Below are 27,571 nucleotides of genomic sequence, written 5' to 3'. Positions count from 1 at the left end.
TCAAGGAGGTGGAGAGATGTTCACAGTGACTCAAATTAATCACATGTGAGGCTGACATTGCTGGAGACCTTCCACAGACCACTCCTGGGCACCCTCAGGCTGGGGCTACCCCAGTGACCCTGTACCACCCCCTGGGCTCCTGGCAAGTCTCTGGTACCATTAAAAGCAATATCATTATTTTTGAAATGCAAAATACAAAGGAACAATGAAACTATGATTGCAACACAGTGCCACTTCCTGCCGTTCTGAGTGTCTACTCCAGGCAAGGGGAAAAAGGGCCCTGGGGAAATATACAGAGTAATTCAGTTTCTAACAACACTCACCACAGAGCCTAGTAACATTTTCCAGTAAGTGGCCATTAACTGACTGCTAAATGACAAAGAATGTCAATTGAGTTACTCCTCTTCCATGCAGGATAAAATCAGTTCTCCCGCCTTGTCCGGTTATTATAAGGACAACTGCTAGACCTGCCAGAAAGCAGTCCAGTGACAAAAGGAACTTGTTTGTTCCCTGCAGAATCTTGCACCAGGGCTGCGAGTGAGACTAGTGCAAAGCAATGAACAAATCCTGCATCAAATTTCATAATAGCAAGAAATAATACAAATTAATAATAAATCCTGCATCAAATAGCACAACGGCAAAAAGGATCAAAATGTCTCAACCTAAACAAACAGTTACATATTAAATGTGAAAAGTCTGGCAAAAAGCATATCCATCCCACTGACTCTAGAGACTAAACACCCAATTGTAACTCTTGAAAAAATGAAACATAAAAAGGAAATTCAGACCCCATGAGCTGAATGAAACTATAGTGCAAGACACACCACCAGTTCAGCCTCATAAATTTCTGACATGAATAGGAATTGTGTGGGACTCTTTCATCTTTTAAAGCAGTCTCAAGGTCTCTTTATGACAAGGTCTCCAAAAAATGGGAGATTTGAGAACTTCAGTGCCTCCTCCCCAAACTGTACTTGGTGTGGTCTATGTTGGGAGCAGGACCTCGGGTTTCCGAGGTGGTGACAGCCTCACTGGGAGCTAAGAATACCCCACTTCTGGCCCAGGCTGAAGGCCAGCAAGGGGAAGCCCTTAAAGGCACCCCTGTTTCAGGCAGCATGAAGCACTGTTTTCAGGCCAGCCTCCGCCTTCCCAAGCTGGGACTGCCCCACCAGAGGTCTGAGGGCCTGGGACACACATGGAAGTCGGTACCATCACTGACTTTCATGTTTCTGAAACCCAAAGTCTAAGCTGCCTTCTCAGGATGCTCTAGGGCAAGGAATCAAACAATGGGGGCCCCTGACTGGCTCCTATAATCAAATCTAGATCAGAGAGCAGGCCATGTCCCAGCCTCCCAGAAACTTCTGTGACTGTCATTAATCCCTTCAAGGTAGAGTAGAATCCAGTTCTAATCCTTCTACCACCTATCCGATCCCTGCCACACACACTTTGGGGGCAGTTGTGGGGCCTGGCAACTCTAGTCTAGGAAAGTTAGTGGGTGTTATTGGATTAGACAGTTTCACATTCCACACCTTCCACAGCCTAGGCCACAAGCATGCTTTCCATTGTTTTCACTCCTTTGAATGCTATTTCTGTGAGTTAAGGGCACTACTATTATTTTAACCTGATTCCTTCATATATATGTCAAGAGGGCAGGTTTAGGTTTCTCCCTAATCCATCTTCTAAATGTTCATGTACGAGCCTTTCTTCCCCAAAGAGTATGTACATAGGGTTATTCTACCATACTCGTATCTAAAAAACTTAAAAATACAACTTGATTTTGCTTGTCTAGACCTGAGATGGCAGGACAGCCTATATCACAAAGCTATGGGAAGTGAGGTAGGCGCAGAGAGAGGCAAGGGGCTGCCCCACAAACAACATCCCCAACAAGCCTGGGTCACACACCCTCCCTCCATTGACAAGTCCAGGAAGTGCAGGGTGGAGGGACCTGGGAAGGGGTGGGGGTGACCTCCAGTCTCCTGTGTTCCCAGGAAGAACTTTTCCTGCACAAACACAAAGGCCGTGGGGCCCAGCAGTTGGCTGCTCCTGGGCATGTCTACTTGGTCTCCAAATGCCCCCAGGGACATGGCCCTGCAGAGAGGACTACAATAGCTAGTGCCCTCTCCACTACTGAACAAAACATTTATCCACCTCAAAGAAGCAGGGGAAAAGCAGGCTTTGCCTGACAGCAGCTCACAGGCACTGTAACAAACCTAACCCTTACATTTGGGGAAGCTGGCCAGCACGGTGGCTGACACCTGTAATCCCAGCACTTTGGGAGGCCGAGGCAGGCAGATCACTTGAGTCCAGGAGTTGAAAATCAGCCTGGGGAACAAAGTGAGACCCCCATCTCTACAAAAATACAAAAATTAGCTGGATGCGGTGGTGCACACCTGTAGTCCCAGCTACTCAGGAGGCTGAGGTGGGAGGATGGCTTGAGTCTGGGAGGCAGAGGTTGCAGTGAGCCACGATCATGCCGCTGCACTCCAGCCTGGGCAACAGAGCCAGATTCGGTCTCAAAAAAAAAAAAAAAAAAAGCGGGGGGGAAGCCAAATCTGAGACCCAAAAGATAGGGTTGAACAAGGGGACTTAGAAGTCACTTAGAGGAGCTGGAACCAGGTTGTGGAACTCTTCCTGCCATGGGTGGGTTTGAATTACTTGGCCTGCATTACATGCTTTAATTCATTAAGTCGTATGGCTCCTCCATTCTAAAAATGGGAGTATTTTCCTTGGTTTAGCTGCTGGTTTTATTAAGCCCTGTCTAAACAGAAGGCAATTCAGAGAGGAAAAAAAATACTGGTTTCCAAATGTTCACAATCCGCAACTCAATGCATGGAGCCTACATTAATGAATGTAATTCAAGCAGACCACCAATCGGGTGGGGTCACTTCCTGTACCCTTTCCAAAAGACCAGGATAAAACCATTCCACAGAAAGATCAAGATTCACATACAGCATAACATATATTCTTCCTAATAATCTCCCTTCATATTACCCATTTGAGAAAGTTCTGTCTTTCAAAGCTTTTTAACACATCAATTTTACAATTATTTTTCTGTAGTTCCTTAGCTTAGCTCTGAAATAAAATACTGGGGGAAAAATAGCTTGCCAGTCTTTATTCTGAATTTCACCAAGGAGTTGTTATAGCGAATTCCAAGTTTCTCTTCAAAGAATCAGTATGTCAATATGTTCAGCTCTCTTATTCTTTGATTTTCCATTTTAAAGTTTAACTTCCTGGTTCTCTTTGGCCCCCTTGCCTCTAGTTTCAGTAAACAACTTTCCCGCCAGTTCTAATCAGTAGTTCAGATCTGTTCCCCTGGTCACCTGCTTTAACCTAAGTCACCCTGGTTACCTGCTCCATCTTGAGTCACCCCTGGTCACTTGCTCTGACCCAAATCATCCTGAGTCACCTGTTCTGTAACCACCCTTCCCACCAAACTACTCACCCCGCCACTCAGGATCGTAGTCTGCTCTCTTTAAAACAGCCAGTTGGAATTAGCTCAGACTATGCAGTTGAACCCCAGGAAATAGGGGAACGACACAGCAGTAGGGGCTACCTGCAACAGGAATAAGAACCCCTGCCCCTCCCCTGTCCAGGTGTGCTCTCACCATTACTCCATCCACAAGTCGCACGCTTCAGTAGAAGTAAAAATTGCCTTGCTGAGAAAATTAAATTTATGTTCAAGTGCTATTTCATTGTGGCACTGAGGAACAAGCATTTTGTTTCTAACAGAGTGGCAAATCTAAATAACTGATAATTGTACAATACAGGAAACAATGCATTTGGGCAGACACAGCTCTAGTAAAAAAAAAAAAAAAAAAGGGCAATTATACAGAAAAATGAAGAGAGAATAAAACTACCCTCAGTTTACAAGGGACCACCATATAAATGGGGGAAAAAATGTAAATAAATTAAACAGCTAGGTTAAAGAGGAAGCGAGAACATTTTATGAAAATAACTGATGACTAAGCTATGGTGTGCATGAAACACAAAGTGCATAAAGCCAGAAACTTAGAATTAAATGAAAGAAAGATTTTAAAAGGGGAAAAGATCTTTAGGGAATGCCTAATAACTCTAACTCTGTCCATTTATTTACAAATGGAATATTTTTGCTCAGAAAGAGCAAGTGGTTTGTTTAAAGCTACACTGCTGATTAGCCTCAGCATCAGGACCCAAGAGCAAGGCTCCCAACTTCTGATCTGCTTCTGCCACTCCCTTATGCTTCACAAAGCACATTTCCAGTGAAAACATTCTTATCATCCAAAGAAAATGTTTTATAAACAGATGAATAGATAAATGTGGGGCACACACATACAATGGAATATTATTAAATATTCCTTCCTTTAAAAAGGAAGAAAATTCTGACAGATGCTACAATATGGATACACCTTGAGGACATTATGCTAAGTGAAACAAGCCAGTCACAAAAGGGCACATACTGTATGATTCAACTTACATGAGGTGTCTAGAGTATCCAAATTCAGAGACAAAGTAGAATGGCAGTTGCCAGGGACTAGGGGAAGCAGGGAATGAGGAGTTCATGTTTAATGGGTACAGAGCTTTAGTTTGGGATGATGCAAAAGTTCTGGGGATGGATGGTGGTGATAATGGCATGGCAGTGTGAATGTACATAATGCTACAGAACTGTACACTTAAAAATGGTTAAAATGGTAATTTTTATGTTATTTATTTTTTACAATATTTTTTTTTTTTTTGAGACAGAGTCTCATTCTGTCACCCAGACTGGAGTGCAGTGATGCAATCCTGGCTCACCACAACCGCCGCCTCCCAGGTTCCAGTGATTCTCGTGCCTCACCCTCCCAAGTAGCTGGGATTACAGATGCACCCCACCATGCCCAGGTAATTTTTGTATTTTTTAGTAGAGGCAGGGTTTCACCATGTTGGTCAGGCTGGTCTCGAACTCCTGACTTCAGGTGATCTGCCAGTCTCAGCCTCCCAAAGTGCTGGGATTACAGGTATGAGCCACCACGCCTGGCCAATAATTTTTTAATATTACCAAAAAAGGAGTTTTGTAATCTTTAAAGCGTTCCCTTTACCTAGAACTTAGCAACCCATTTTGCCAACTCCCTACTTCAGCAGCAAGTAATAATACAGGCACATAATAATGTATATATAGACATGCAACTTACTATGCATTATGTCATGCTCTACTCTCAGAAAAAAAAAAGTGACCCTGAACATGGGACAGTCACATTTCAGTGAGAACCCCAGCTCAGAACTGAGCAGAATTCAATTTTGGGACCAAAGCTAAAAGACTCATGAAATAGGGAGCTGCAGTGGCTCAGGCCTGTTGTCCTGGCGCATAAGAAGGCGAGGCTAGACGTTCGAGGCCAGCCTGGGCAACACGGAAACCTCTGATCTATATAACCAAAAAATAAAAATAAAAAGACTCATGAAATAACTGGCACCAAAGCATGGACAGACAAACTGCTGTGCAGATACTGAAACCAAATGTTCCCAGTAAGCAGCCACTCCAGACTAGAGCAGATTGGTCTCCTGGCTACATTTTATCAGTCTGAGGACCCACGTCTGCCCTCTGTACCTACTGGGACTTGTCTACAGAGTGTATCTATAATTGCAAAACTGAAACATAGCTTAACAAGTCTATAGTGTAGTGTCCCAAAAATTCATAAAATTATGCCATTGAAAAAAAATATGACTTTTTTTTCTGTGATAGGCCACAGCACTCAGTAATCACCAAGAAAACCAGGATCCCAACAGAACAGGTAGCTACAAAGAAACCTACTACACACTTAAAAGCCGTCAACCCCTCCTCTGACTAATAAGCCTGTGACCTTCATCAAGCTCCCTGGGCCTCAGTTTTCTCATCTGTATAACAAGGATAAGAATACTTATCTGAGAATGATGTGATTACTCAGTAAGATCAAAAATGTTAAGTACCTAGCACAACCCCTGGCACCAGGTAGGTGCTCAATAAATATTAGGTGAATCTGAATCTGTGAATTTTTCTGAGAGAAACAAAAGATGCAGTTTAGGTAGTCTATAATTCCACGTAATACATGGAAACACGTTTGAAGTATAGGAGACAGGTTTGCCCAAGATTAAAATTCTTGGCTCCAAGGAAACCTGGAAAGCCCCAGAGAGGCCCTGCTGGAGACCTCTGGCCTCCTCCTTACAGCCATGGCTGTCCTCTGGGGCCTCCCTCCCTTCCTCCCCCTCAGAATCCCTCTCTGTTTAACTGGCCATAATGTACAACTGCATCCTCTTCTCTTTAATTTGCTCTATTTATTTAAATAAGATATGTTTATTAAAGCTCCTTGGAAACCATAAAATCCTATGTAAATGTAGAGGTCTTTATTTAATAAAAATTTATGAGGCTTGTTCTTGAATTTTTAAATGGATCAACTTAGCCTTTTATGGTTCTCTCCAAAACAAAAACAAAACAAAAATACAACAAAACCCCAATTCCTTTTCATTTGTAAATGGACCTTCGTTGATTTTTATCCCTTGTGGAGACCACTTTTAACATTAAAGGGGAAAAAAATCTTCACCTTTGAATGGGTAATCTATTTCCTTCCCTGGAAATGATCACTGTCCTAGGAAATGCAAACACACACTAGAAATAAAAGCCAGTCATTCCCTGATAATAGAGTGGTACAGAAATCTTTGGAATCCATAGGAAGTTTTTCCATCACAATTTTAAAGCACAGTAAAATTCAGACTTCAACAATCCCAAATTTAAGAACATTTAAACATGGCATGAGTTAAAGTTTTAGGTCATCTACAAAAAGAGGGAAGGAACACTTACCAACCAAATTGTGCCAATATGATCTTCAACAGTATTTGAGAAATTATAACTTGCCAAGGGCTCTTAAAATCATTTTAGGAATATCCAGCTTTCTACCCTTCATTATCTAGTCACTAAAACAGGATATGTTAGACACCTTCTGAGAATATTTAAGAATACTATTATGTTGCTTGAAAATTAATTAGAAAATTTACATTTTCTAATTGAAGGCAATGAGCAGCATTCACTCTCGACTGAGCACTGTGGTAGGCACTTTATACCTCACATACCTCTTAAGTAGATCTTAATCTCCCCATTTTATAGATGAGGGCACCAGGCTCATGGAGCTTGCCTAAGGTCACTAAGTCAGAAAGTAGGAGCATATAGGTTTAATCATAGCAATAAGTGAGTAGTAAAGCCAGATTCCACAATTTAGGTCTAACATACCATGGCATCATAATTACCTCTTGCATTTCTTTCTCAGAGTTTAATCTTGAACAGGCTTTGTTAATTTGCCATGCTGCTCCCAAACTATTCCACACTCATCAGGTTTTTCGGTCACAATAAAAAGACAACTTGTTTGCAGTCTCACTCCTGCTAAGTTCCGGCTTCTTGCCTCAGTGGTCTCAAGGGCAAAGGATGAAAGAAATCTCTGTACTTGATTTTATCACATGCATTGACTTAACATTTCGGAGTCCTAAAATATCATAGCTTGGTTAATAGTAATTAATGTTTTATAGTGCTTGCCCTTTAATTTACAAGTAGTTTTCCCTATACATCGTCCCACCAAAGCTCTCGTTTTCTCACACATTCTGATAAAACCAAAGAACATATGGTAGGTAATGATGTTCTCACATCAGACAAACACAAACTAAACTGACTGAAGGATATGCTCCATGAGTTTATGTCCTAAATTCATTTTTATTTCCCATTTCCTCTGTTTTTCCTGGTTCCAACAGGATATTCTGGTAGCTTTTCCCATCCAACCAGAAACAGGAAGCACCTGAGAAGCCATGTCCTAGTGCCAAACCAGAGACCAATTTTTTAAGAATTCAAAAGCTTGAGACATTTTGGAGAGATCCCCACATATTTAGAGTCTCTGCAACCAAACCGACCTTCCAATGTTGTAAAGGAGCACAGCTGGCCCATATGGAGACTTACCATGAGGCCACAGTTATAGAACAATGGGTGGCCTTGCTGAGCACTTTCACCTGAGTTTTCTCGGGAGCTCCTCACCATAACCCAAAGCGGTAAATGCAGTGGAGGCATCACAGCATCGACTCCCACTGAGAGGCCAAGTGACAGGCCTGAGGCTAAAGGGGCAGAAGTGCAGCAGAGCCGTCCTCAACCCACAGCCCCTCCCACGGTCTTTCCACCATCCCACAAGAAGTGGGTTTAGAGGCAGCCGTCCCCCTCCTCCCTTGCCCTGTTCCCACCACCATGACCAGTCTCGAATTTCCACCATCCCTCTCTTCCATAGTCTCAACAGCCTGCAGACTTTAAGTGGGTTTCAGTTTTTCCAATTGTAAAATGAAATAATGCCACCTTGCACTTGGATGCAGCTCAAGCCCTTGGGGACGGGCTCCAGCAGTACACACTGGCAGGAAATTCTCTCTCCACACGGCCCTCCCACTTTTAAAACACCCTGTCCCCTCTCTGTTTTCCCCTGTAGATGGGGAGCTTCTTGGTAGCTGGAACTGTGTCACTTGGGTTTTGTCTATCTGGCAACTAACAAGTACTTAAGATTAAGTGGATTCTATTCCCGGTACACAAGTCAGTCACCCTATGATGATTAACAAACACTTGCTCAGAATACAGTATGTTGTACATGGCATATTAGTATATATATGCTTAGCATATATTAGCAAGTATATGCCAGACACTGTTCTAAGGACTTAGAAGCATTAACTCAGTCCTCTTCATAGACCCTTGAGGTTGGTTAGGCACAGAGAACTTAAATAACCCATCTGAGATTACACTGTTAATAAGAGGAAGTAGCAGAGCCGGGACTTGAACTCCGGCAGTCTGTGTCCAGAATCTGTGCATTGGCCACCAAGCTACTCTGCCTCTCCATTGTGTGGCATGTGAATAACAGATTAGAAAGAAAAACTCAGGCCATCACCTCTCTGGACCTCATGAAAGACAGGAGGCTGTTCTAGGTGGTATCTGAAAGGTCCTGTCAAACTCTAAAATCTTCCCATTGTCTTTAACCATAATGTGACCCCTAACGTGGAACAGAGAACTTGCATTACTGAGTTTCTCCACATTGAGGAAATAATGGTGGCCTTAAAAGCCATAGTAGGTCTAGTTTAAACCACAAAACAGGGAGGTGGAGATGCCTAAAGCCAACAGAGCACAGACAAGAGCCCTCTCACTACGGCCGGCATCCTCCCAGCCCCACCCGTCCAGTCCAGTCTTCTAGAAAAATACTCAGCATCTTCTACCCCTCTCCTCTTACAGGGCCAAGAACTACAGAAACTTTCAATTTAGTCCCCCATTTTTCTAAGGGGCTGCTCTTACACCCCAATACTCCACATGCCAGCCCCATCCATCCCTTATTTCCCACCCTGGGCCAATGAATGGGTTAGCATATAAAAGTGTGTGTGCGCCCATGGGAAGGAAGATTGGGCAGGGGCATAATCATTTTGCTAATTTCTTCACCAGTTCCATTTAACCATCATTAAGTCCATTGTATTTTTGGGATAGTTCAGTCACCCTTTCTTGCTTTGTGAGGGTTGTTGACTGGCTTTTACTTCTCATTTAAATTAGAAACCCTAAAAAACAAACTAACAGAAATTACCATTAATTACCAGGACACAAAATGGTTTGCTGAGTCAGACAGAGGCCAGCTTCAAAATCCTGCTCCACCATTTATTGTTTGAGTGACCTGGGGCAATTCACATACACTCTGAGTCTCCACTTACTCCTGTCACAGGAGAATGACAACACAGAAGCTGGCCTTTGGGCATCCCACCTGTCTCCCCCCAGCTCCTACCACCGTTCCTATGATGTGGCCTGACTGCCACCTGCCAGCACCTCTGTCCTGGAGGCTTTCCCAGCCCACACACATGGCAGGACAGGATGCCAGGTGGAGGAAGCCCCTTCCCCTCAGCCCTCAGGCAGGAGGACTCTAGATGTGTGCTCCACACTGGCCCCAGCACCCACCCCAGAGACTGCACCCACTCGCCCAGGTAACGTGCTGAGGAGTACATCTTCCATGGGCTGCCTTCCCTTCCCATTCTTACTTCCCCCTGCCTCACTGGTGTCTTCTAGAACAATTTCCAAAATAAAATACCTGTAATCAGACCCAAGAAAAAAAAGAAACAAACATTTTTCACAGCTTCTGGGAAGATTAGATGAGAGAATGTGTAAAGACCTCAGATCAACACTGGCCTACTGATGATCCACAGCTACTTAATAGAAAGTAATGCAGAATTATGAGCCTCGTGGACCTGCGTACACATGGACATTGAACTCCACCTCCCTCTTCAGAGGGCTGTCCTTGTGCTTGTGGTATATATAGAGGAATCATCAGGGACCATCATGTGTCCCTGTCACAACATGTCATCTTCTGGGAAAACCAAAGTACTGGTCCTATGCATAACTAGTATGGTTCAACAATCACTGCCTCCATCACCCTGCTGAGCCCATCGCTCCTTCTCAGCCTGAAGAGCTGCCCCACCGGTTGTTCCAGAGGCTTTTCCTTTTTCTTCCTTAGGAAAAAGGAGGAGTAAACTGGGGCAGTGGAAACCCAGGCTTGACACATGCTTTGCGTTTCTGAAACCAACGATCCCTCCACTCTTGATTGATTATATCATCCTCTATTTTTAAGATGAAGTTTGTTCTTCTTCTGTTTGGGACAATACAGATATAAACAGGGCCAGAGTTTCATTTCCCTACATGGCCCAGCCAGAGCTGATCAAATGCTGATACAGAGGAGAAAGAAAAACCAAAGGAAGGCTCACTCTATAGGGGAGAGGGTTTGTGCCTCCTGCAGAGATCTTGCTGGCTCTTCTGTGGGGGACGTTTCCCAGAGCACCCTACCTGTGTCACCTCAGTACCCAGAAGGGTCCCAGTGTCCATATAGTGTTTCTCATGAATCCTTTTTAGTGTCCACAAAATTTGAAACCTAGGAAAACCCAGGGAGGCCCAAAGGCAATGTGGACATAAGCCAGTGAGACTTCTGTCCAAATAAAGTAGGAGGGGAATTAAGAAATAAATAGTCCAGCACTTACAGAAGGAGCAGGTTCCAGCTTACCCAAAATTAGGCTGAGAAAACTTGAAACTACGAGCTATCAAACTGAAGAAAATAACCGTGTTTTCTGAACGCTTAAAGCTCAGATTCGACTGGGCTAAATAGTGACTGACTCAATCACTATTAGTGACTGTCCTCGATGCCCAGGCATTTGAAGGTTCTAAGTCTGAGAGGATACATTTTCCTTCCAAGTGCCCCTTGGCGAGGAGCTCTTAAAACCACATTCAGGATGCGCCCAATTCTCCAGCATCTGCCTGGGCTGCAGGACCACATGGGAAGGAAAGTCAGACCTCAAATGTCATGAAATGCTGAAAGTTCAGAGTGTCAGGTTTCTGTCCAGCTGTTGCTTTATGAATCCTGGGTCTCCTCTCCCCCCAGCCTCAGGACATCTGTCCACAGTGCAGCCAGAAGCTGTGTGGGAGCCTAATGACTGACTTGGAGCTGCCTGGGGCTGTAGAGATCATCTGGGCCAACCACTGAATATTCGGACAAGGAAACTGAGGTCCAGAGAGAGAAGGTAAGTTTCCCAAGGCAACACAGCACCTGGCATTACCAGAAAACCAAGGCAGCTGTTAGGTCACTTGGCTGAGGCTTGGTGAATTTCGGTCCCTGAGACTTCATAATGCTTGGTAAGCACCGTGGGCTCTGCAGCCAAGTCAGGTGAGGGTTGGAAAGGCCTGGGACTGCTGCCCCCTCTGTACCTGCCTCTTCTCTGGGCAGGGCCTTGGGGACCAAGAGACCATCTGGGAGCAAACAGTGCTGCCCTATCATGAGCATGTGGAAAGCTGGGGAAATGTTCAGCTGGTGGTGCATAGAGGTGGGAAGGCGGGCTTAGGGCATGAGGTGGGTAGGGGGATGAGGAAAAATCAATCCATGCTCACCTTCATAGCAAGGGATCAGCGTCCTGCCTTTGGCCTGGAGGTTGGAGGGGATGATGTAGCAGAAGCCATGGGGTAGGATGTGGTCGGCTTCATAGTAGATGTTCTTCCAGCGATGAGCACAGGCCTAAAGGGATAGAGAGCAGTTGAGAGCAGGAAAGTTGGCCCCAAAAGATCACAAAGCAGACTCCTGTCAGTGCCAGATGTTTCTTTCTGTGGGAGAAGAGAGGAGCAGAGGGACCAGAAAGCCACACCTTCATAACAGGCACTTTTCTGGGCATCAGAAAACTGCATGAACAGGAACAAGCCACTGGGAGCCTACTAGGAGACAGGAAATAAATATATCAACAAATGAGAATTGTAGCTAGTCCTGAGCATTGGGAAGGAAAGAAACAAGGTTATAGAATAGAGAATCTGGGAGTGGGAAGGATAGTTTCCACCAGAGGTCGGGAAGGCCTGAAGCATGAGGGGAAGAGGGTTCTGGGAGGATTCAAAGGATAGCAGAATGTAAAGGATACATCGTGAGAAAGGCTCAGAGGCTCAAGAGAAAGAAAGGCCGGTCTGGAGTGACCATGGTGGGAAGGAGATAAGATCAAAGAGGCGGCCAAGGTTGGACCACAGGGGGACGTAGGAATGGCTGTGACTTCAGCAGATCTGCAATGGGAAGTGGTGGAGAGTCTTACACAGTTGAGAAGCATGATCCAAGTGACAGTTTGGAAAGACCATTTGGCTGCTTGGTGGAGACTGCAGGAGGGCAAAAGTGCAAATGAACACCAGGTGAGAGATGATGCAGGTCTGGACCAGGAGGGGCAGTGGAGATGGGCGACGGGGGTGGCTTCAGAGCTGACAGGCCCAAGGGACTGAACCGATGTGGAGACAGCAGGGAAGGGAGGAATGGCTGATATTCAACCATGTTTCTACCCACAGAAACACTTCAGCATGCATCTCATTAACTAGAAGTAAATGTGTGTGGAGAGTTGTTTTTTTATGGAAACTTACATACAGCAAAATGCACAAATGAGCTTTGACAAATGTACACACTCATGTCACCAAGGCCCTAGCAAGACACAGAACATCTCCATCTCACCAGAAAGTTCCCTCATGCCAGGGAGTGGCTGGTTTTGCCAGGCAGGTCAAGGAAGGCCTCTCTGAGGAGAAAGCTGAAGGAAGGTTCATGGCCAAGGGTCTTGGGGTGCATGAGAGCTCCGCATACTGGCGAAGAAGATGGACAGATGCATTGGCCAGCTCTCCAGAGGAGCCTCTCAGCACTAGGGTCGAAGCCACGCAAGACACCATGAGGCAGGGCAGCTCTGCTAACAGACACTGGAGCAGTGCCAGCAGCCAGGATGCAGGCCTGGATCGTCCTTCTGCCACACTAAACATGCCCCTGCCTTCTGCTTGGACATGACAGTGGCCCCAGTTCCCGTGCATGTCTCTGCACATCCAGATGTCACTGCTGTGCTGATGAAGAGCCGAGCTGCTTACTCAGAGGCACACACTCTACCCTGCCCAGCCCGTTCCACTTCTCCTGGGCATTCACTACTCACTTCTGATATCAGTTCACTTCACCCCAGCCAGTGAATGCATTTTCTTAAAATATTGCTTTTGAAAATAATCAGTTTTTAACATCTTGGTTTGCCTCCCTCAAACGCATTGTTTTCGTAAGTGATAACATTTAGCGTTCTTATGGCCTACCTCTGACCTCTTCTGCAATCCTGGAAGGTGAGCAGAGGTGTCTTTAGAATTCCCATTTTCTGTACAAGAGCACCATGTATCAAAGAGTGCTTTGCCTAAGTGGCAGAGCTAGTAAGTGCTGCAAACAGCACTGGAATCCAGGAATTCTGAGTCTTCCTTGTTTCACTATGAAGCATTTTCCATCTTAAAACTTCTCATTCCTACCTGAGAGGCCATCAAAACCCACCCCCTGGGGCAGGCCTGGTGACTTTATCCTCTTTACAGCCCCCCTGCCACATGTCCCAGGACATGTGAAATAACCACTCTGGGGTCGAATGGAATGCCCCACGTCACCGAGTGAGTGAGGGGGCTCTTGGGGCCTGGTTCTCCCTGACATCATTCTATGATAAGATCACAGCCTTCTAAGCTCTCTGCTCTTCATCCTTCAAGCCACTGCCACCAAGGCCCTGGACAAGGCCACTCTCTGCCCAATGGCAAAAGAGGACACACTCAGAATGACTCTCAAAACCTGAGCTTGCCCACATTCTGCCTCTTGTCGTATGACATTAAACTACAGAAAACAATCTATTGTTATTTTTTCTGCTGCAAACCACATTCACTCCTCTCCTTGATATTGTTTTGTGCTAAAATAGCAGGTTTCTAAATAGACTGAAATGATATGAGGCAGAGAACTATAAAAAATATATCACTAAGTAAATAATCACTCCATACTGCTAAATAATTGATTTTTAAAGTTCTGACTCAATTCTTATGGCTCGCAAACTTGAATCACTTATTGTTATCTAATTTGTGGGTAAATCAGTTATGTTTTGGTTTTGCTAAGTTTTTGGACTTAGCAAAGCCCTTGGCTTCAAGGGTTGACCATGTTTTATTGTATTTCTGAGTTGGAGGGGCTGTGAAAAGAGGCGGATGTTTATCATGGTGCTGTCTGATAGCCAGCTGCACACTGACACTTATAGGAAGGCTTTGCTGTACTTAATGTCTGGTGTATTGTCTCATTTTTTAAGTGCCATAAACTATTTAAGGGGTGATCTTGGAAAATTCCTAGAAGATCCAAATATTGCATTTCATACTAAACTAAAAGCATTCTGGGAGGTCAGAGATCAAAGTGTCAAAGGAAGGATTCATGTAGGAAAACAATGCAAAGTGTCTCTGAATATAAATTACAGAAAGAGAAGACTGTGTTTAGCCTTGATTATCATTATATATACACACATGTCAATCTGACCACTACATTTTAAAAAAATTCCTAGGGACTGTCTCCAAAGCATTAGTAACTCCATCAATCTCTCCAAATGAGTTCGGCTGTGAGGGAAGAACAGGAGAAGGAGAGCATTCTCTGAAAACAGCAAGACTTGCTCAAACTCAGATTTCAACTAATCATAAGAAAGGGGAAGGAGGGCCTTGTCCCACTCCAAATATTAGAATCTGACACATTTCAAGGTATAAGGATTGCTCTTCCTCCCAAAAGAGGAAAAAGAGAAAGAAAATAAACACTTTATTTCAAAGGCCTTTTTTGTTGTATGGAAACAACACATCCCTCCTAGAGGTGGGTAATGGCACTTTCCGGGTGCTTCGGCCACAAAGGCACATCAGTCCCTGCCAACCCTCCTACATTCGCACCTGCCATAGAGATGGCCAAAGCCTTTGTCATGCATCCAGGTCCACAGTGCACGGCCACAACTGGGCCTGGCTGCTAAGAATGGTGTGTGGTGGGGAGCAGGATCACAGAGAGGCTGAGATGCCATGAGACTCCCCTAAGAAGCTCCCCAACCGAGGAGGAAGTGGCCAGGAGGGGCATTGGGAAGGGGCTGCTGGGGTGTGAAAATGTTATTCTGAGGACGTTCACCTAATGAAAATTTATTGAGGTATACATTGATGATTTATACCTTTTTCTGCATGTGTGTTACAGCTCAATAAAAAGTTCACTTTAAAAAAAATCAGGAAACAGAGCAACAGAAGTAAATGCAAAAATGTACCCTGTGGCTTTGAAAAAAAAAAATGGACAGATGGGAAGCACTGAACAGATAAGGACAGCCCTGATAATTAGAAAGGAAATGACAAAGAGAACCAGAGAATACTGCTTCTGCACAAAAATAATCTAGAAGCTTAAATTATTTGTTGTCTGAGCCTTGGCAAGTCTGATGAAAAGGGGCGACATTAGACTTGAACATTTTGAGTTGTCCTCCAAAGTCTGAGCAGCAGTCAGTGCCTATACAGAGTTTGTTCAGTGGTTATTTCAAGAAGTGATTCCCCTCCCCGCTCATTTCTTAAAATGTCGTCTGCACACAGGAAGCTCAGGATGAGAGAGTGAGAAGGGAAGGGGCTTGCCTCTAATCCTGATGCTATCTTTACATCCAGTATCATTTGTTTCTGGGGAAAACCTGGGAGGTGCAACAGTGTCCATGGAGCTGAGATGGGCAGGCACTAAGCCAAGGTCAACCTGCCAGACCAGCCTGACAATCTGGTCCTTGCCAGAGCTGGTTGCTGGGTCCATGGTCCACATAATGCCTTTGGTCACTGAGACATTTCACGCCCCATTGCAGCTTTCAAATTCTCCATTTGTTCTTAGGTTTTCTATCAGCACCAGACACCACTTTCAAAAGAGCTAGCCCACCTCTCCCTCTTCAAACCCAACCTTGGAATCCAATATTGTGCTCCTTGGGGATACTGGTCTCTTGCCTACACCCCCAGGCACTTCTCAAGTTCTCAAAATGCACCTGAACAACACATATCCTTCCCATTTTTAATTTAAAAGTAAATACTTGCCTCCCAGAAAGCTCTGACAGGTAGGGTTGAAACATTAAAGAAAAAAGCAAATGGCTATGAGACCTCCAAATGTAAATAGGGACACTCACTGTATCTTGTTTTTGCCTGCCATTTCCAAGGAACATTTTACAGAATGTTTCCTGGTGTTTCCTTCAGCCACTTAGAATCAGCCACCAAGAAAAGATGGCAACTAATTTGGTTTCTAATTGTTTTAACATTGACCCTCAGTCCCTGTATTATTCAAACACACTTTCAGATGCCATTCCTTAGAGAGATGTCCTCCAGATGCTGAGAATGAAAGTGGGTAGATTTGGTCTCTATCCCCAAGTGGCTTCCATAAAAGGGGACATATGGCCACAAAATAAATTATACACACAATATAAGTAATAAGATGATGTTGAGTTCCTAATGACACAAAAGATGCTCAGCTTGTTCCAGAAAACCCTTAACAGGCTTCACGAAGGAGGCAGAGCCCATACAGGGGAAGAAAGAGAAGTGCCGAGGACAGAGTGGGGCAGGGGCAGAGGGGACTTAGGACAAGCCTTTCCTAGCAAGACTGCCCATGTGCAAAATGCCATGAGGATAACTCAACAACAATAAAAACCAAACAATCCAATTTAAAATTGGGCAAAGGACCTAAACATTTCTCCAAAAAAGATATAAAATGACCAACAAGCAGATGATGAAACAATGCTCAATGTTACTAATCATCAGGGAGATGCAAACCAAAATCACAATAAAATATTATCTCACACCCATTAGGAGGGCCACTATTTAAAAAAAAAAAGGAAAACAATAAATGTTGGCAAGGACGTGGAGCCATTGAAACCCTTGTGCACTGTTGGTGAGAACTTAAAATGCTGCAGCCATTTGGGAAAATAGTATGGAGGTTTCTTAAAAATTAAAAATAGAAGTACCATTTGATCCAGTAATCCCACTTCCGGGTGTATACCCCAAAGAACTGAAAACAAGATCTCAAAGAGATATTGGTACACATTTATAGCAGCATTCATCACGGCAGCCAGGAGATAGAACCAACCTAAATGTCCGTCAATAGATGAATAAAGAAAACATGGTGAATTCATACAATGAAATATTATTCTGCCTTTAAAAAGGAAGGAGATCCGGTCACATGCTACAACATGATGAACCTTGAGGACATTATGCTAAATGAAGTAAGTTCGTCACAAAAGGACGAACACCACACTCCACTCACATAAGATCTAAAGTAGTCAAACTCTTAATAGAAATACAATGTTGCCAGGAACCACGGGAAGGAGAAAAAGGAGAGTGTTGTTCAATGGATGTAAGTTTTGCAAGATAAAGTTTAAAGGTTTGTTGTACAACAATGTGCCATACATTTACCACTACTGTACACTCAAAATGGTTAAGGTGGTAAGTTTTATGTCATGTGTTTGGCCACAATTAGAAAAACAAACAAAAGGCACAAGGAAAGCAGATGGTGTCAGATGCTCCTCTTTGCCCAGCACCCATATACAGTGGCTTACTGAGTGGATGATGCAATAACTTCATAAAACATTAAAAAAATAGTCCTGCATGCAATTAATTAGACAGGACTATCCATGGCACCATTATCCACAAATGCTCTAGTGCTGCCTTCTTGGCTCCCTTTGCTAAATCTTCCCTGTGGTCCTCATTGCTGTTCACTGTCCCCAGAAATGACTCCTTTGTGATACTGATCTGTGGTAACACAGAATTCTGTCTTGCCCCTCTGGAAACAAGCCCTCAGCCACAGAGAGGTTATCCTTCCTTGCAGAGAGGAAATATTTTCACAGGAGCAAACTCTGACTCTAGGCTCGATGCCCTTAAGAGCATCTTGTGTTATGCTGCCACGGGGCCACCACCTCCTTTTTGTTCTGAATCAGGACCTTGGGCTACCCTTTGATTTACAGATGAGTCAGCTTCTTCCCTTTCTTTCCCCAGAATGGCAGACAAGGGTTCAGCCCCTCTGGGGCCCATTTGTCCAGTCAGGGTCAGGCCACCATGCCTGGAGGAATGTGGAAGTTTGGAGAGGGTCCAGGGCCAGCCATGACAGTGATGAAAGGACTGGAAACCAAGGCAAACAGCGGGCTCAGGGAGCCTGTGCAGGACCTACAACGGCTTCCAGGAGGGAGGCCCCCACCATGCTGGCGACAGCATCCAGCTGCTTCCTCCTCTCCCAAGGGGCCCGACAAGGGGGAGATGCTTAATTGTGCTGAGGACGGAATTCAGATTAACAGCTTATGCCATGAAGAAGTTTAACACAAAAGTGGGCTCCTTAGAGAGGGGACAAAAACACTTTGCCTAGTGCCTTAAGGAAAACCTGTTTCCCTGGGATAAAATACACACGAAACCCTCAGCTTTGCAGCATGTGACCCAAATGAAGCCCTCCATAAGCGGCAGCTAGTATTACTTTCCCCTCTTGAGCTTACGCTTTTATAACAAAAATCTTCGTACAGCTTCTGATAAAAGTCAAGGGCAAGAGAAAGCCTATGTCAGAATAGTTGTTCACTCACCAAGGGCAGAGGAACTGACTGGGAAAGGGTGCAGGGGTTCTTCCGGAGTACTGGCAATGGGGATGCATAAGTGTACATGCGTGAAAACCCATCGGGCTGTGCACTCACAGCTGGGTGTGTTAAGTGCTTTAGTATTATACCTCATAGAAAAGCTTAAAGGAAAAATTGACAAAAACAAAACCTCTGCAGTGTTAGAAATTCCTTTCGTGTTGAGTCTAATAAAACTTTCTGTGATGATGAAAATATTCTCTCTCTCTGCTTTCCAATAGAGTAGCCAGTAACCATTTGTGATTATTGAGCCACTTAAATGTGGCTAATATGACTAAAAACCTGAATTTCTAGTTTAATTTGGATAAATTTAAGTTTAAATAAGGACACAGGGCTGGTGGCCACCTTACTGCACAGCACAACTCCAGGATCTCAGGAGTCTCAAATGCAAAGACTTTTCTTTCTATCTCCCTCAAAGCACCTACGGATCAAAATACAGCATAGGTGCTTTGGAGGTCCGATAAATAACTAGTTAAAAATAACATTTATTTCATAAAATGTAATATTATGTAGAGATAAACAGGAATGAACTACTGATACGTACAATGGGGATTAATTTCAGAAAATATTATTTTGAGTGAAAGAAGTCTTATATAAAAGAGCACATACTGTAGGATTCCATTTATATGAAATTCTAGAAAAAGCAAAAGTAATGTATTATACAAATCACAGCTGTGGTTTGTCTCAGGTGAGAGGAGTTGGCTGGAAAGGGACATCGGAGACTTTTGGGACGATGGAAATATTCTATATCTCAGTGGGCATATGGTTACACAGGTGTGTACAATTGTGAAAATCAAGACTGTAATCTTAAGATTTGTGTACTGTAAATTATACCTCAATTTAAGACACACACACACAAATACCTATGTAATGAATGAGATGTACAAAGCACTTTTCACATATGTTTTATTTTTCAATAGTCACATCTCAGCACCTTGGGACAGACATTATTCACATTTGACAGATAAAGAAAATAAGAAGATAAGTCATTTGTCTAAGCAGTAGTCCAGAATAAGCAACCTCAAAGCCATGCACTTGTCACCATGCCATCCAGCCTTCCTAACAGATCATTCATTCTCAGAGTGCCACCCCCTTCCCACAGCACCCCCAGGAGGGACTTACCAACACACGGCCATCAGCCTTGGGCTGTCGGGCCAGGCTCACCCCCATCCACTCATCATCGCGGTCTTCCCGGCAGGTCTTTCCGCAGGACGTGCCCCGATTCTTCCCTGGAGAAAGAGGAGAAGAGCCAGACTTGGGTTGAGGAGTGATGTTCTGCTGGCTGCTTTCAAAGGGTGGTCCACAGCCCTATGAGGAAATAAGGAACTTTCCACAAAATGTAAATCAACTCCATCACTATGTACTATACTGTTTAATCCAGACAACTGTTTTTTTACATAGCAAGGCTTTCTTTTTCTTTCTTTTTTTTTTTTTTTTTTTTTTTTTGAGACAGTCTCTCTCTGTCGTCCAGGCTGGAGTGCAGTGGCACGATCTCAGCTCATTGCAACCTCTGCCTCCCAGGTTCAAGCGATTGCCCTGCCTCAGCCTCCCAAGTAGCTGGGATTACAGGTGTGCGCCACCACATCCCACTAATGTTCATATTTTTAGCAGAGATGGGTTTTCACCATGTTGTCCAGGCTGGTCTCAAACTCCTAACCTCAAGTGATCCGCCCACCCCAACCTCCCGAAGTGCTGGGGTTATAGGCATAAGCCACTGCACCCAACCACATGGCAAGACTTTCTCATGGAAAGAGGCAGGGCCTTGATTTATGTTCTGAAGTAAGCTCCTTAATTTGTTATGCACCAGTAACAAACAGTTCACAAACCTCTTTTTCTGCTAAAGAAAATCACAATAACTCTTTATTTAAAAAATAATTAGAAGATCTTGGCCAGGCATGGTGGCTCACACCTGTAATCCCAGCACTTTGGGAGGCTGAGGTGGGCGGTTCACTTGAGGCCAGAAGTTCGAGACCAGCCTGGCCAACATGGCGAAACCCCGTCTCCACTAAAAACACAAAAATTAGCCGAAGATGGTCATACACTGTAATCCCAGCTACTCGGGAGGCTGAGGCAGGAGAATCGCTTGAACCTGGGAGGCAGAGGTTGCAGTGAGCAGAGATTGTACCATTGCACTCTAGCCTGGGTGACACAGCAAGACTCTGTCTCAAAAACAAACAAACAAACAAAAAACAACAAAAAAATTAGAAAATCTTTATGCAAAAAGACTTTGGAGAAAGAAATGCTTGCAGTCATGATTATAACAAAATACCTCCTTTGTACTGATGTGCCAAGCACAGTTCTGTGTACTCACCTGTATTATCTCACTTAATCTTCTCAAGACCATCCTTGCGAGGTAGGTATATTAGTCTTGATCTTGAAGGTGAGGGAACTGAGGCCCAAGAAGCTATAGGACATTCCCAATCAGTCCCAGCTGGGCTTTGAATGCAGTCAGAACCATCTGATTCCAAAGATCTTATATTTTCTGCTAGATCAAAGTGAGCTTTTATTTTATTTTTTTATCTTTTTGGAGACAAGAGTCTCAGTTCTGTCACCCAGGCTGGAGTGCAGTGGCACAATCTCAGCTCACTGCACCCTTGACCTCCTGGGTTCAAGTGATCCTCCTGCCTCGGCCTCCTGAGTAGCTGGGACTACAGGCATGCATCACCACGTTCAGCTAATATTTGTATTTTTAGTAGAGATAGGCTTTCACCATGTTGCACAGGCTGGTCTTGAACTTCTGGGCTCAAGCAATGTGCCCACCTCAGCCTCCCAAAGTGATGGGATTACAGTCATGAGCCACCATGCCCAGCGCAAAGTGAGCTTTTAAAAACATCCATCTGATCATATCTTTCCCTAGTTAAAATGTAATACCCAAAATTGATTTCAGTGGCCTCCCCACTCACACACAGAATAAAATTCCAGCACATTGCCCTGGCCTGCTAGGCCCCACGTGGCCTGGCCCCAGCCTGCCTTGCTGCCCTCCTGTGCTCCACTCTCCTGGCTCCCTCTCCAGCTGCACAACCTCGCTCTGTGCTTCCAAATGGCACCTCTGCTTGAAGGCTGTGCTTCCTGCACCTGCCCAGCTAACGACTACGCATCCTTCTAATCATGTCGAAAGGTCCCAGACCTTTCTTGACCCTCCTATCTAGATTAAATCAAATACTCACCTTCCCTCTGGTCTTTTCTCTCTCAATTACTTGTCTTAATATCTCTTTTGCCCACTAATTTATGGGACTAGGGATGGCAGCATCCTTGTTTTTTTTGTTCACTGGTGTATCCCAGTGCTTAATAACTATTACGTACTCAATACATGCTTGTTGGAGAGAAGGAGGGAGGGAAGGAGGGAAGGATGGATGGGTGAGTGAATGATCAGGCCATCCTGGGAAGAAGAAGAGCAAGGTATAAGGGTACAGAACCCATTTCCACCACAGCAGTAATGGTCACCCACCTCGAGCCATGTCCAGTTCGGTGCATCTCCGGTCAGGGTTGGTGTGAACACGGCACTTAAACACAGCCCCAGGAGACTTCACTGAAGGGCTGTATTTGGAATCTGCCTTTGGTGCGCCCACAAGGACCCTGCAGCAAGAGAAAAAGGCATTCTGTCACAACCTACGATAAGAAAATAGGAGGCAGATGGCTAAGTATTCACCCAACCACGGGTGGGCTCTCTGAGTGCTCACTTTGAAAATCATATTATTATACTTTTCTGTGTGGGCTTGGGGGAGAGGTCCTAAAGTGAAACCTGTTAGATCTTTCCCAGGCATATTAAAGCTTAAGGAGGCTGAATGTGGTGGCTCATGCCTGTAATCCTAGCATTTTGAGAGGCCGAGGCGGGTGGATCGCTTGAGCCCAGGAATTCCAGGCCAGCCTGGGTGACATGGCAAATCCCATCTTCACAAAAAAAAATGGCCAGGCAAGGCAGCGCACGCTTTTAGTCCCACCTACCCAGGAGACTGCGATGGATGGGTGGGAACACGTACAACCAACAAAAGGTTCCTATCCAAAATCTATTTTAAAAACTCCTCATTGATTAATAAGAAAAGACAAGTCAACAGAATAGGCCAAAGACAAGCATAGATACTTCACAAAAGAAGATAGCCAAATGGCCAATAAATGCATGAAAAGGTGCTCAACTATGTTAGTTATCAGAGAAACTCAACTTCATACCAACCAGAAGGCTCAAACCAAAAAGACTGAAAATCCCAAGTGCTGGCAAGGATATAGAGTAACTAGAACCTTCATACACTGCTAGTGGCAGTATAAACCATTAAAACCACTGGGAAAACTATTCAACAGTTCCTAATAAAGCTGAACATGCACCTACCCTTTGACCCAGTAATTCCATTTCTAGGACTATACCTAATAGAGATGCATACATTTCTACCAGGAGACATGCAAAATGTTCAAAGCTGCATATGTAATATCAAAAAAAAAAAAAAAAACAAGAAGAAACCTAAAGGCCCATCAGTGCTAGAGTGGACAGGTAAATCATGGTACAGCAATACAACAGAATTCTATGCAGCACTGGGAGGCCGAGGTGGGCAGACTGCCTGAGCTTAGGAGTTCAAGACCAGTCTGGGCAACATGGTGAAACCCTGTCTCTACTAAAAATACAAAAAATTAGCTGGGCATGGTGGCAGGTGCCTGTAATCCCAGCTGCTTGAGAGGCTGAGGCAGGAGAATCGCTTGAACCCAAGAGGCAGAGGTTACAGTGAGCTGAGATCATGCCACTGCACTCCAGTCTGGGCAACAGAGTGAGACTCTGTCTCAAAAACAAAACAAAACAAAAAAAGAGTTCTATGCAGCAATGAAAACAAATGAACAGCATTCAACTGCAACCACAGAGATGAACTGCACAAATACAATACTGAACAAAAGATGCCAGATACAATAGCATACTCACAGTCTGATTCCATTTATCTAAAGTTCAAAAGCAGGTGAAATTTAACTATAGTGTTAGAAGGCAGGATAATGGTTACCTCTGGAGAGGAGAAAGCAGGGTTGCAATTAGGGAGGGGAATTGCTGGGGGTGCGGATAATGTTGTCATTCAACCTCAGTGACATTATACAAATTTGTGATAACTGTATATGATATGGACACTTTCCTGGATGTGTTACATTTCAGTAACAAATAGAAAATTTAGAAACGCTATTTCTCTTCTGTCTCCCTCTCCTCCTCCTACCACCCACCACACACACAGCATGGACATTTAGGGGCAAATAGGAAAAAAAATAGCAGCAGTGCGGAATTATAAACCGTATCCTCTCTCCCACTGCAAAACAGAAATAGAACAGTTTGCATGCAAACAGGAGCAAGAATGAACCTCTGTATCCTCCATCTTGAACTGAAAAGCTGCCTAGGGTGGGCCATCCCCAGCAGGAGCATCCCCCGGCTACAGGAAAGGGGCAAGACCCACCCAGAAGACAGAAGAGGCAGGTTTGGGCCTGTGTGAGTGCAGAACACGGGGGAAATGGCAGTAAGCTCCCCTCCAGATGTTACAAAAATAATTCTGACCTACAGTTTTATGCATTGTTTCCGGAAAGCAGTCAACAGAAGATCTATAGCAAAGAATACCAAACAACACTAATCAGGCACGGTTTGTGCTGAGCTACGAGCCATTTGGAAAAGGTCTTGGACAATGAGACTTCAAACAAAATCCACACTGATGTTCAAAGAGTAGAAAATGCCAAGCCACTTCTTAGTGAGAACAGGCGTTGTTCCTTATCTCCAGCAGCCTAGAAAAGAGAGGGAATTCACCTCACAAGGGTTTCTTCTGTATCATGAAATAGATCATCTCCCACATGCCTTGGAATAGAGTGCATTACATATTATGTATTTGTGGAAAAGGTGTTTAGCAGAGGTTAGGATGACCCTGGACAGCTTTCCTGGGGATGTAGAAAGCTGACCCAGGCTCCCTTCCCTCTGCCCTGAAAGCCACCTTCATCTTGGGATCTCAGTCATTCACTGCACCCTGGTCTTGGAATGCTGCTGCTCCTCCTGCAACACTCCAGCTAGGCAAAGGGGCAGACAAACAAGGCCTCTACATCATACAACAGAAGTCTGAGGCCCTCAAAGGGGACTCCAGCAAAGGCTGGCAGATATCACAAAGGACATCGTCACTAACCTGGCTCAGAGACATGGTGTTAAGGTTCATGGGAATGTGTGTGGGTCCCATCTTAATTCCCACTGCCCTGAGCTCAACACCTAGAACCTGAAGAATTGGAGGGTACAAAGAGCCAGGGAGACCCACCCCTCACTGGAGTGTCTCCTTCCAGGTCAGTCTTGGAGGGTCTGTATCTGATTCCATGAGGAAGATGCCCTGCTGGGGAGTGAGAGAAGCAAGACTCCCAATGGTGCAGGTACCCAGGCTGCCCTGCGGCTCCTCAATAATGCCCTGGGATGCACCTCCCCAGGTGTTTGCTGGGCACAACTGCAGAATTCCCAAGCAGAAGCAGGGCTGGAACCCACAGCCCTTTGGAAATCAAAGCAAGCACTTTCCCAAACAGATCACATTGCCTCCCTCACCCACACAAGAGCAGTTTGGCTGGCCCTTGTCTGCTGTAACTCAAATGCACAATGACGTACAAAACAAAACTCCAGTGAGAAGAAAGCCACATTAAGGGATCAATTTTCCCCCTTGCTGTAGCGGCTGAGCTTTAGAGCCACTGGGGTAAGTCACATATTGCGCTTCATAAGACCAGCTGTTTTCACAGGTGAGAAGAATTAGCAGTTTGCCCTGTCTAAACTGCTGAAACATCCTCAGCCTTTCCACAGGTCAGGTTCTAAGACCTGGGGAGCATAAAATACCTCTTCCACTCAAAAACCCCAGGGCCACACAGCAGAGTCCAAAAATTCCCACCAACTCCAAATTTACATCAGCACAGTGACTAATTGCCACTTGTAATTTATTTTACAAAAATCACAAAAAAATTCACAAGAGTGAGAATTCATCACGTCCGAGGGAAGGGAAAAGGCTGCAAGAAACAACAGGTTCTTCCTCCACTGTGTCTCCCAAACTGGCATTGGAACCCTGGAAATTTCAGATAATGCCATGGCTCCAAATTCACAGACACAGATTCATAGGTTATCTAAGCAGGAGGGGACCCTGGAGAGCTTATTCCCAGGCACTGCTTCCTCCAGCCTAGAGCCAAGACTGACAGGGACAAAGTTTACACCAAAATCTAAAGTGGAAAGGAACCTGCTGAATTATTATTTCCTTCCAAGCCCAAGGTACTCAATGGTTCTAACAACAATAGCTGATTCAAACCCTGATAACAACCTTTCAGTTCAAAACTTCTGATCAGCTGGTCAGATGAAAGGTTTTTCCCAAATCCTGTGCAATGGAAAATCAGGCTAGAGATAAGGGGGCATGCACACACATGCATGACACTCACGAGGTGGCACGCGGGAATGTGCTTGTATCTATGTGTTTACAGAACATCGTGGCTTCCTCCGCAGCCCAGCACTGCTCTGTACCTAGGCCACCATCCAGCAAGACTACCGCAGGCCAGCCCATGAGTGAGTCTTTTCTGAAGTTAATTCAGCTGGCTGTTTACCAGGCTGATCCCAAGGGATACAGAGATTACCATGGCCCAGAGTTCAGAACAAGCCACTGAAAAGATGCCATCTGCTAAGTTATAAAAAGACATCCTAGCCACTTCAAACATCGCCCCAACTCTCCTGGTACTCTCAACAAGACTATGTTCCTTTCTGCTATGGTTACCACATAAAAGGGCCTGAGTGTCCCCACCAACAGGCTGCCATCAACAAAGCATCAAGCTACTTCTCTGCTTTGCTTGCTACTTCAAGTGTGGTCCTCAGACCAGCAGCATGGGGAACACCTGGCACTTGTCGGAAATGCAGAATCTTAGGCCCCAGCCCATTAAATCAGAATGCATTTTAACAAGCTCTCCAGGTGATTGATAGTTTAAGAAGTACTATGTAACTATCTAAACTGATTACAAATAATTATGTTCATTTGGAGCCAGTAGAAGAGATTGCCCTTGAGAAGCAAGGCTCTCTCCTCCTATCCCATCCCCAGTTAAAGATGCCACAAACTCAAAGGCCCTTTTTTTTTTTTTTTTTTTTTTTTTTTTTTGAGATGGTGTCTTGCTCTGTTACCCAGGCTGGAGTGCAGTGCGGCGATCTCCGCTCACTGCAACCTCCACCTCCCGGGTTCAAGCAATTCTCTTGTCTCAGCCTCCCTAGTAGCTGGGTACCACAGGCACACGCCACCACGCCCCGCTAATTTTTATATTTTTAGTAGAGATGGGGTTTCACCATATTGGTAAGGCCGGTCTTGAACTTCTGACCTCAGGTGATCCACCTGCCTCAGCCTCCCAAAGTGTTGGGATTACAAGCCTGAGCCACTATGCCTGGCCTCATAAGCCTTTTAGGTCCTCTCATCAATGCAGGACTCTAAACTTCTAATTAGGGCAACCAGCATGTAGCAGGCACATAGAGTGTGCAGGTGCTGGGTTAGGCTCATTGCGGGCAGGATCAAATTTACTCTTCACAGCAACCCTACGGGAGGTACTAATATTATCCCCATTTTACAGATAGGGAAGCAGGTGGCCAGAGGAGGTTAAGATGGTTATTCATGTTAAGATGCCAAGCTGTAGCACGCACCCCAGTAGTCAAATACAT

At 44.7% G+C, this 27,571-nt stretch overlaps 1 protein-coding gene across 1 annotated transcript in view, besides 2 other annotated features; it reads right to left on the bottom strand.

The window, feature by feature from the left end:
• ITGA9 (integrin subunit alpha 9) overlaps positions 1 to 27,571 on the bottom strand; it is a 371,367-nt gene that overhangs the window by 330,001 nt on the left and 13,795 nt on the right. The window contains exons 2-4 of the mRNA NM_002207.3: positions 22,373 to 22,500; positions 20,047 to 20,153; positions 11,900 to 12,023 (exon numbers count right to left, since the gene is read on the bottom strand). Of these exons, the coding sequence (NP_002198.2) occupies positions 11,900 to 12,023; positions 20,047 to 20,153; positions 22,373 to 22,500 (359 nt within the window). The remainder of the gene's footprint in view (positions 1 to 11,899; positions 12,024 to 20,046; positions 20,154 to 22,372; positions 22,501 to 27,571) is intronic.
• Positions 17,911 to 18,422: an enhancer, noted in NCBI's record as "H3K4me1 hESC enhancer chr3:37516576-37517087 (GRCh37/hg19 assembly coordinates)". NCBI's record gives its function as "activates a minimal SCP1, AML or CMV promoter by ChIP-STARR-seq in naive H9 embryonic stem cells {active_cell/tissue: H9 hESC(naive)}" and the evidence as "EXISTENCE:reporter gene assay evidence [ECO:0000049][PMID:30033119]".
• Positions 18,423 to 18,935: an enhancer, noted in NCBI's record as "H3K4me1 hESC enhancer chr3:37516063-37516575 (GRCh37/hg19 assembly coordinates)". NCBI's record gives its function as "activates a minimal SCP1, AML or CMV promoter by ChIP-STARR-seq in naive H9 embryonic stem cells {active_cell/tissue: H9 hESC(naive)}" and the evidence as "EXISTENCE:reporter gene assay evidence [ECO:0000049][PMID:30033119]".

The sequence above is a fragment of the Homo sapiens genome, chromosome 3 (genome assembly GCF_000001405.40).
Source record: "Homo sapiens chromosome 3, GRCh38.p14 Primary Assembly".
In the NCBI taxonomy this organism is placed as follows: Eukaryota; Metazoa; Chordata; class Mammalia; order Primates; family Hominidae; genus Homo; species Homo sapiens.
The sequence above is the reverse complement of the archived record's forward strand: the minus strand, read 5'-3'. Positions and strand labels throughout refer to the sequence as shown.